The 11146-nt window shown below is 43.8% G+C and overlaps 1 protein-coding gene across 2 annotated transcripts in view, besides 1 other annotated feature; it reads left to right on the top strand.

The window, feature by feature from the left end:
* The window catches only part of RORA (RAR related orphan receptor A), a 741019-nt gene that overhangs the window by 53237 nt on the left and 676636 nt on the right, over positions 1-11146 (top strand). The window lies entirely within an intron of this gene.
* Positions 2033-2533: an enhancer, noted in NCBI's record as "H3K27ac hESC enhancer chr15:61465732-61466232 (GRCh37/hg19 assembly coordinates)". NCBI's record gives its function as "activates a minimal SCP1, AML or CMV promoter by ChIP-STARR-seq in primed H9 embryonic stem cells {active_cell/tissue: H9 hESC(primed)}" and the evidence as "EXISTENCE:reporter gene assay evidence [ECO:0000049][PMID:30033119]".

Genomic DNA, 11146 nt, shown 5'->3' with positions numbered 1-11146 from the left:
GAATGTGTGTGTGTGTGTTTGTAGATATAGAGATGAATTTAGGAACCTTTATGATGGTGTATTACCAAACTATTGACATTGGTGATCTTTGCAGGGCAGAAGCCTGTGGTTGGCGTGAGATAGGAGAGGTTTTTTTCATTGTGTATGCCCTCATTGTTTCACTGCTACAATAACTTGTGACATTTTCTTATGAGATTAAGAAATAAAACTTAAGGAAAGAAGACAAGCCCAACTCAGAGCAAGAAATATGGGTCTGAGACTTAGCTTTGTGGCTCATTAGCTCTGTGGCCTGGGCAAACACATAACTTTGGTGAGCCTCAGTTTCAACATCTTCCTTTCTATTTTATTCGAGACTGGGTTTTGCTCTGTGTCCCGGGTTGGAGTGCAGTGACACAATTATGGCTCATTGCAGCCTCAACCTCCCGGGCTCAAGCAATCCCCCACGCCCCCACATCAGCCCTTCCAAGTAGCTGGGACCACAGGCACATGCCACCATGCTTGGCAAGTTTTTTTTTTTTTTTTTTAGAAACAGGATCTCACTATGTTGCTCAGGCTGGTCTTGAACTCATGGACTCAAGCATTTCTTCTACCTCAGCCACCCAGAGTGCTGGGGTTATAGGTATGAGTCACCGTGCCTGGCCCCTATCTTTAAAATGAGAAAATGAGGTGAGGGAACTCCCTAGTCTCCTTGGCCCTTGTGTTTTGTAAAATCTCATGAGACTCTGCCCTTGAGGCAGCTTGGCATTTGTGCTCATTGAGGACTGGGCTGGGCAGCCTTGTACTATTTCCTAAATTTGAATCCTAAATTTTCCTAAATTTTCAGGACCATGGACACAGCCCTCGTGGCATCTTGAAGTGCTGTGCTTGCCCACCAGGACTTTTGCCTGATGATCCCTGTGCTCTAGACAGAGTGAACTTATGTGATGCAAAGCCATTACTGCTGAAATAGTGTTTTCCGGCTAGCCATAGTATAGACCCAGAGACTTTCCTTCTTTCACTTCTATTTTGATGTCATTGTTTATACCCTGTGAAATCATGAGGCTCTTGTTATTTAAAAACCAGTAGAATAGTTAAGAACATGGGCTTTGCAGTCAAGCAGATTTGGGTTCAAACCCCAAATTCACTAGCTGTGCAACTGTGGGCAAGTTATTTAACCTCTCTGGGCTCAGTGCTCTCATGTAGAAAATGATGGTAATACCACCTTAGAGAGCCATTATGCGGGTCAGATATGCATAAGAATGGAGGCTTTAGTCTCTGGAACATAGTGAGTATGCAATAAACATTAGCTGGCAATCAGTAAAATTCTCTTTCCCTACGGAACAGATGCAGGGTAAAAATGTAGGGTTGTATGGCTGAGGTTTACACTGGAGCCTGGGAAGGTGTAGTCAGGCTCAGGAGTCATTTGCTCCATTTCATGTATGAGAGCGGTTGATAAGGATGACAAATGCAAATACTAAAATATTTTGTCAGAATTTATGACAGGAAGTTTTGACACAGTGATATACTACTTCCTGAGAAACATCTGTGCATTATTAATCCTGGATCACATTTCCCGCCCCTCTTTTGCCAGTGGCATAAGCTGCGTGAGAAGGGAGAAGTCTGTTTCCAGAACAGTGGCTACTTGCGGTTGCCAGTGACAAATTAAATCTGCTGATCCTTATTAAGAATTTTCTATGGCCAGTGGTTGGCTAAGAGCTGGGGAAGCCAAGGTTAGTAAGAACCAGCCTAACTCTTAAAGAGCTTACTGGGTGAAACTAGGAAATGGCTCCCTATGGAAGAAGGCAGAATGTAAGCTGGGTGGTGTGGGGGCAGGGGGGACGTGACAGATTCTAACAGAAGCCAGCAGAGAAGGCTTTCCAGAGGAGACCTTTGAGCCAGGCCTGGGAGGAAAGCATGAGACATACATTTCAGGCTGGAGAATGGGCTTGAGCCCTGGCAGAAAGCTGAGAGAGTAGGTAATGTGCCTTGTAAATGGTGAGTTGCCCCAGGAGGTCAGAGTTACCATGTTTGTGAATGGCCAGGAACAGGATGGAAATGTTTTCCAAAATTTCTGCCAATAAAGGTCTCCTGGGGAGTTTGCTAAAAGCACAGATTCCCAGGCCCCTCACCTGCTGATTCAGACCCAGTGTGCATACCACAGATCTGGAAGATGGATCTGAAAAGATAGGAAGGACCAGTTTAATTAGAGCCTTGATGGAGACCAGCCTGGGCAACGTAGACCTTTCTACAAAAAATCATCCAGGCACGGTGGCACAGGCCCCACATGCCTATAGTCCCAGCTACTCGGGAGGCTGAGGTGTGAGGATCTCTTGAATCTGGGAGGTTGAGGTCGCAGTGAGCCGTGGTCACGCCACTGCACTCCAGCCTGGGTGGCAGAGCAGGACCCCATCTCACACACTCAAAAAAAGAGGCTTGAATGTCATTCCGTATTTTGATTTTATTTGACTTGTTATTCCAGAGCATCAGACGATATTTTTAACTAGGTGTTTTGTGCAGACCTAGAAGATTCACATGGCAAATGATGTTCAGGTGGGTCTAGGTCAGTGATTTCTAATGTGAGGTCCAGGACAGCTAGGGGTCCATGAAGACCTGAATGGGTTGCCTGAAACTATTTTATGTGCTTAAAAAATTCCAACACAAGTTATGCATTTATCCTTCCTAAGTTTTAAAATAGTTTAAACAGTTTTCTCTTTAATATGGAACTGTATTAACATAATATGGTGAATGGATGAATTCAGGCTGCACAGTGCAGTGGTTAAAAGCATGGACTTTGAAGACAGATCTGGATTTTAGATTTGTACCACCACTTTCAAGCTGCAAGATCTTGAGCAAGTTACTGCACTGCTGTGATCCAGTTTTCCTGTATATAAAGTGGGGGTAATAGTGGTACCCAGCTCATAGGATTGAGATGAGGATTACATGAGAGGATCCTCGTACAGTGCCTAGTAGAAAGAAAATGTTCAAAAATGTTATTAATACCAGGAAAGAGAGATGGAAAAGGAAAAATAAAATAAAATTTAAAAACCACAAAAATGTTATCAATATTAAGCTGTCTCATGGAAAAATAATTATATATGACTACAGGTAATTTTGTTTGGTAGCAAAACTCAGGAAATAGTAATAACGCAGGAGGCTTGAAGGTGAAAAACTTGCAGAGGCTTCTCAAAGGACTTGCTTGGACACAGCATCTACAGCAGAGAGCAAAGACATGCCTTTTTTTTAGCTCCTCCCAGCCCAGGATACATGCTCCTTAGGGGACCCTTAGACTTAAGCTCTGCCTCTGAAGTGTGATTTACCCTGGAAATGATTCTAACGGAAAATAGTAGAAAACTGCTTTCCAGGAGAAGAATCAAAGGAGAGTATGTATTTACTTTGGGCGATTTTCCCATTGTACTGGTTATATTGCCAAGAAGTTAAAAATAGTGGTGATAAGCAGTCTCTGAATTGGTCCCTCCTGAGGTGGCAAGGGTCAACTGAAAGTAGGATCATTCCTCCGGGGCCCTGAGACCTATCCCCCTTGAACTCTGTTTTGAGAGCCCCTGGTGGAGCATCTGTGGGCTGCTGTCCTGGGATCTGCATATACTACCTGAGTTTCCCTCCTGTCTTATCAATTCCTCAGACTTGTTCTTGGCCTCTGTTAAGCCAACCGATTTTAGATGGCCTCATCCTTTAAATATGCTATTTATAACCACTAATTTATGTTTTCATGATACTTCATGTAGCAGCTGGCCTTTGTGCCACCGTAAGAAAGGAATAATGAAATACGTGGTATTTATATGGGTGGCTATAGTGTTTGTCATTTCGTATATGGATTGCTATTGTAGGAAGCATGAAAAATTGCAAAGGGTATTTTTTTCTCTTAAAGATAAGCTCCAGTGTATTAAATATTCATCTGCTGTGTAAGGACACTATACCATTTTTTTTTGTTTCTTCATCCTTATTTTCTCATGGAAATATATTCAGATGTCTACAATATATATTGTTCTCATAAAATGCTTCTCACTGCAACTGGTCCCCTGAGCAAGACTTAACATCTTCATCAACAGCTGTTACAAAATATGCTAATGTGCATGCCCTTCAGCCTATAGGGTCACATCTAAATAACACCACTGAAGCACACTTGAGAACTTGAACCCTGGCAAGCCTTGACTTTGAGCTGCAGGGTGAGATGTTGAGGATCGGTGTCCCAAAGAACCTTTGCCCTTTTAAAGGCATCGTTCCTCTCCCCAGCTGCCTCATTTTCAAAGGCAACGTTTTGTGTCTTGCATTTTATTGTTTGGCTGAGCTGAAGATACAGGGAGGACAGATGACCCAGGCCTCTCTGCTAAAGATGTAGCCAGTAAAGCTAAGATTCCCAATGGGGGCCACCTCCAGGAGCAGTGGAGGAAAGTGAGCGATGTGTCATAGGTTATGGGGAGACTGCCCCTCTGCTGGGAATTATTAGTCAAGTAGGGCTAGCAGCTCTGCAGAAGTCCAGAAGTGGAGTGGGTGGGGACCAGTGAGTGTTAATACCCCACATCTGAGCAGTGTATTCTCCTTTAATAAATTTACTTCCGGATCCCTGCAGAGGGGTGGTTCTTAGGGTGTGGGCCTGGATTAGCAGAATCAGCATCACCTGGGTTCTTATTTGAAATGCAAATACAGACCTACTGAACTCTGGGGGTGGGGCCAACAGTCTGGCTTAGCAGGCTCTCCAGGTCATTGTGACACATGCCAGGGCTGAGAACCATTGCCCCAGAAGCACTTAGGCCTCTCATTGGGCTCTCCTGTTCCTAGCAAGATCACAAGGATGGCATAGCCCACCCACCGTGTGCCCCTGGATGGGTGTAGGGCTGTGGAGGACACCGGAGAAGCAAGAACTTGATTTCTGCCCTGAAAGCCAAGTGTGCCAGCTGCCCGTGGGGCAGGTCTGGTGTAGTTTTGATGATCAGAGTGAGTATGAGCCAGCATGTCGCCAAGTCCTGGAGCCTGGAAAGAGGGCGGGCTTAAATCAGACAATAGCAAATTCAAATCCTGCCTTTGCTAGTGACCAGCTGAACAATCTGACCAAATTGTGTAACCTAAGTCTTACTGTCGTCACCTGTAAAGTAAGGCGGTAACATCTACCAGAAACGACTATTGTGAGGAATGGAAAGTATGGTATCTAGAGGGTGCCCAGTAAACATTTGTTTTTAAAACGAAGAGTGAGGATATGAAACTGTAAAAGGATGTGTCTGTGCACTATCCAGCCCCAATTACGCTTCCATTTGCTTTCATTCAAGGTTGATCCAAATGGCTCTGCTTTACCTAACTAAGCATTAACAACCACTTCTCTTTTGACTGCTAGTGCTGGTATTGGTATATTGATATAATCATGGCTGTATATTTGGAGCACTTACAATGTGCCAGGATTGTGCTGAAAAATACACATATATGCTCTTTTTATATTTTCATAATGGTTTTATGAGAGAAGTATGGCAGGCAAAATAGCGAAGTCCATACCCCAATCCCTAGAGCCTGGCAATCTGTTACCTTGCATGGAAAGCGACCTTGCACATGCGATTCAGTTAGGACCTTGAGTTGGGAGATGATCCTGGATTAACTAGGCGAGCTCAGTGTAATTACAGGTCCTTATAAGAGGCGGGCAGGAGAGTCAGAGTGAAAGAAGGAGATTTAATGACAAAAGCACAGGACACACAAACAGGAAGAGAAAGATTTGAAGACGCTACACTGCTGGCTTTGAAAGTGGAAGAAAGGGCAAAGAGAATGCAGGTGGCCTGCAGAAAGTAGAAAACGCAAGAAAACAGATTTCTCCCTACAGCTTTCAGAAGAAATACAAGCCTGCCAACTCCTTGATTTGAAGACTTCTGACTTTCAGAACAGTTAGTAGATTTGTGTTGATTTAAGCCACTGCATTTATGGTAATTGATCACTGCAGCCACAGGAAACCAATACAGGAAGTCTTATGACTCAACCCACTTGACAAATGAGGAAACTGGGGATCAGCAAGGCACAGCAGCTCACCTTGGGTCACACAGCTAGGAGGCAGTGCAGAAGTAAACACACCCACATCCAATTCTAGTACACACGCTTAGAACTATTATGATGGACACGGTGCCTCTGGGAGTAGGTGTCCTGCAGAGTGAGGACTGCCTTCTGGGGGTTCTTTTCAATTTTACCATCCTGATAGGGTCAACAGAAAGGTCCACCCTGGGATGCTGCCCAAGGAACATCATACTTCCTGATGAAATCCAATGAATTTTTCTTCCCAGGTGCCCTGTACCAGGAATGTGAGCTGTTTCTTTTTTTTCTGAGGCCGTTTGTAAGGAAGACAGTTGCTGGGGGGTTTGAAGGAAAAACAGGAAGTGGCTTCAGCATCCAATGCAAATCAATCAACTGCTGGAAGAAGGGCCAAGAAAAGAAAGCTTTTTTTTTTTTTTTTTCATGAAAATGGAAAAACGAAACCAAGCCACAGACAACAATAAAGAAACATCAAGGCTAGAAAGGCTGGAGAAGGCCTCAGCATGGACTAGCTCCCTGCTGAAGCCGTGGTGTTTACGTCCCGTGTGAGGAGGAGGCAGAGAGGGGGTACCACTCTTCCTCTCACTTAACAAGGTTATCCTCTGCTGCCACAGAAGAGGAACCTGCAGAAGAGGAGGCAGAGCTGGCCACCAAGAGAGAAGCTGTAGGCAGAGGATACCAGGCAGAGAGGTATCATCGGGACCCCAAAGAGCCAAGCTCCAGATTGAAAGTATTTTTTAGCATCAACGTCAAGCCAGGGCCTTAAAAGACGCCAGACTTTTTTTTTTTTTTTCCAAGCTGTGTACAGGGCTGTAAGAGTGCAAGGCCCAGAATGGCAAGGGTTAAGGCGAAGGGAGGCTGGATTCCCCATTCAGTTCCACAGATGCCTGGCGTCTGCAGGGGACTTGGCATATGCTAGGGGATCCCTGGGGCCAGTCAGAGGAGTCAGGCCAGCCCTGCCTTCAGGAGTGTTCTTATGCTCTGGCAGGGGGAATACAGCAAGTTCCCAAGCTCCTTTAAGGTGAGATCCAGCAGGATGGAGGCACAGGAAGGTACAAAGAGTGGTGTGGCTTGGAGGGAGAAAGAAATCACATCAACTGAGTGGATAGAAATGAGTAATAATTGAGAGGTCACTCCAAGGCAGGTTCCAAGCTAGAAATGATCAGATGAGTGATCTCATTTAGGCTGTCAGAGACTTTGGGAGGTAAGCATTACACCCATGCAGCTTGGGCTCAGAGAGGTTAAACAACTTGCCCAAACACAGCTAGCACCTGCTAGAACTAGGACTGAATCTCGGTGTTTTGATTTCAAGCCCAGCATACTGTCCACCAGACTGAGCAGACTCCTGGTGAGGGGAACCATAAAACGCTTCATGTATCATTTAATGACAAGGAAAGATGTTCAAGAGAAATAGCTAAGTAGATAAGGCAGGTTATGTGATCTAGCGCTCATTAAGACACACGTTTTTATTTATCCTAAAAATATCAAGATTAATATATAATACAAGGGCCAGGCACAGTGGCTCACACCTGTAATCCCAGCACTTTGGGAGGCCGAGGTGGGCAGATAACTTGAGCTCAGGAGTTCGGGAACAGCCTGGCTAACATGGCGAAACCCTGTCTCTACTAATTACAAAATTACTATTTTGTAATTTTGTAAAAATACAAAAATTAGTTGGGCATGGTGGTGCATACCTGTAGTCTCACCTAGTAGGGAGGGTGAGGCAAGAGAATCGCTTGAACCCAGAAGGTGGAGGTTGCAGTGAGCCAAGATCACGCCACGGCACTCCAGCCTGGACAACAGAGCAAGACTCCGTCTCAAAATACATACACACACACACACACACACGCACGCACGCACGCGCGTGTATATATGTGTATATATGTAATGATTTACATATATATGTATATGTATGTATATATGTGTATATATGTATGTTTTTAATATATATTATATATATACATTACAAGTTTTCTACAGGAAACAACACTCAGCATATTCCTAAATACTAGTAGAACTCTGGGCTTTTACAACTGTTTGGTGGAGTTTTGTCTGAGCAAGTTTCCAGATGTTTTATAGGTGCCTGAAAAGGTAGGTGAACATCAGGGGATATCCCCAAGAGCAAATATACAGAAGCAAGAAATGTTAGAACCATCTTTGCATCTGTGTGAATGTGCAGGAAACATGCATTGAAGTGTGGCTGTAATACAGGGACTGTGTAGGAGAGTGGTGGGTGGGGTGGGACCACCTTGGAGGGTCCTGAATGCCACATTAAAAGATTTCGGTTCTACAGATTATGAAGGACCTAACCCAGAGGTGGTGGTTGAGATGCTGTATTAAAAGTAACACCTTAAATGTGGCAGGGGATTAAGTGAGATCTAAATTTGAAAGGTTGGTTTTCAACATAAGTGTGGGGAAAGCTCCCTGATGCCAACCTTGCTGGTCCTGAATTGTGGCACACTGTCACCACCTGGTGGTCACATAGCCAAATTGTAGGGCTAATGGATTTAGCCAGAGTCCTGGTTGTAGAGAAATTTCTTCATAAAAAAAAAAAAAAAAAAAAAAAAAAAAAAAAAAAAAAAATCCTGGTCAAATTATTTGCATCCTTTAAAGAGTTCTAAAGGCTTATAAATATCTGGATAAGGATCTCAATGTTTATTATTAACCTGAGTGTCTGTAATAATGTGGACACATTCTTTAAGTAACTCAAAATTGTTCAAACCTAGCAGACAAAGAACATTGTCATTTTCTGGACTATATGAATATCAGGATCCATCTGGAAGTTGAAAAGACTCAATAGCTTTGAGATTTGTAATGAAGGAAAAAAAAATCTTTTAAAGTAATTCCTAGCAGGTTGACATTTAAGAGACTTAACTGCTGAGTACCGAGTGAAGAGTGATTTTTACAGAAGCTCTCGTTTCAGCTGATTCCAGGGCCTGATTAGATGTCATTACAAGAAGAACTGGATTTTGAACAGAGAAGCATTAGGGGTGCAGCCGATTCTGTGATTTTGTGTATGTGTGTCACTGCAGTTTGAGACATCTGGCAACTACAACTTCTTTGTCATTGTCTACTGTAATTCCAGAGAGGGCAGGTCTTAAGAAGGGGTGAGCATAGCTGGGCTCAGATAATTGTTGGTGAGTAGGTTGTGGGGATGAGGATGGGGAAAAGTAATCTAATTATGGAGATGTACATGAGAATGGAGTCTTTATTACCATGCTGGCCACTGGCAAGCATTGTAGCTGTGGATAACATGTGGATAACATGTAAAGGGTATGTTCTGCTTCACAAGTAGTGCTCTGTGTGGTGGGATGAGCACTGTGCTAGGAGTCCTGAGGTCCAGATCCTAGCTCTGGCTCTCCCTCTAACAGAGGGAGACTCCCTCTGTGACTTTTGGAAAGATGACCTCTCTGAGGCCACATATTCTTTAGCTGTAAAACTTGGTTTTATATTTCCCCTTCCTATAATATCATGCTGCTGTGAGATTCAAACAAAAAGCACTGGGTAAATATAAGGTGATATAACGGTTGTCAATGGATGTGCAATTACGTTTGAAAAGTCCAAATGTTGTGTAAGATTAACTACTCCTCTCCTGCCTCATCCCTTTTCTTCTGTTCTTCTGCCTGCTCCTGTTCTGTGTCTGTTCATGTTTTTATTCCTATTGCTGTCCCTGGGCCCTCCTCTCTAAACAGATTCACAAGGCTGACGTGGGGAAATTATTCTGGTATTCCAAGAGACATGTTCATCTGTGTCTTTCTGGTGCTTGGGCATGTTGTAGGTATTTAGTAGAAACTGGTCAGTTTAATAGATCGTGAATACTGTCAGTGTCTTTCTTGCATCTTCATCGAGGTCCTCAGTAACCTCTTAAGGAAAGAGTTCTTGAAATGTTTCAGTCTTTTAAAAAAAAAAGTGAAAGATGGCATCAGTCTTTACGTTTGCTACATTTCTCTTCCACATACTGGAATATCCTTTCATTGGGCTGATGCCCCCCACTCAGAAGAGTTTGAAAATCTTGCACCTGATGGCAGCCCTGCATGCATTAAGAGTAAAGGTTTCAGAGTCCCACATCGAGCTCAGGTCAGACTTCTGCCACTTAGGTCTATGTGGCCTTGGACAAGTTACTTCATCATCCTGGGCTTCACATTTTGTATCTGTAAGCTGAAAATCTATAAACCACAGATAGTAGTTGTGGGGATTAAATGAGGTCTCTGCAAGTGTCTGGAGTAAGGGGTAGATATTATTAATGTTTGTAAGGCAGGCCTCTGTGTTTGAGATTTCCACATGCCCTGTGCAACTAAGAATGGGTTGAAGATTTTCAGCTTTCATGTTTAAAGTGGGATGTTGTTTGCCCCTCTTTCATTTCTGTGAACCCCTCCTTTCCCTAGTCATGTTCCTGTGTTTCCACTCTCAAGTGATCCACAGAACCCTCAGGTTCCCCATCCTTGGGGATTGGTGGGACCCCAGCTCTCCAACTCTCTTCTAATCAAGCCTTTGATCTATTTTACATATTGGCATTTAGAATGGAATTTCTTTAGGGTAAAAGTTCTACAGAAAAAAGACAAAGAGTTTTGAAACCCACCAACCACTGGCCGTGGTCTAGGATAAAGACACTGGATCAAAAGAGGGAATTAGATAAAGGACTTGACTTTGGTGAGGCTTAGCAGCTCTAAAATCACAGAAATGCTCTGGAAATAAAGAGGGGAGCTGGATACACACAGCCACTTTTGAACTGTTGAGAAGATGGGGCTATGATTCCTGCAAGAAGTAATCCGAATGGATGACAGTTGGAGTTGCAGCCACAATAAATATTTCTAGCCCAAATCTCGTGGAAAACTGGCTTATGCCCCCAGATGCCTGGTGTGGTGTTGACGTGGGGAAGATACTCCCTGTGTTGAGGCAGCAGGAAGGTGAAAAGAATGAAACAAGTGTTTTTTCACACACAGATTCTGTATTTCACAATTACGCAGTTTATTCTTTGGGGTTTGCTAGGGGAACCTACAGAGAGAAGCAGGATGCCTTCTTCTCAGTAGGAGCTTTGGAGGGTGTGATGGAGCCACAGGAGAGGGGTAGGTGGTGCAGGGTGAAGGGTGCTTTGGGTAAAGCTGCCGATCTGTCTTTGAAAAGGTTCTCTGCTGTGCTGTCAACA

The sequence above is a fragment of the Homo sapiens genome, chromosome 15, assembly GCF_000001405.40.
Source record: "Homo sapiens chromosome 15, GRCh38.p14 Primary Assembly".
NCBI lineage: Eukaryota > Metazoa > Chordata > Mammalia > Primates > Hominidae > Homo > Homo sapiens.
Note: the sequence above shows the minus strand (reverse complement) of the source record. Positions and strands in the feature narration are given on the sequence as shown.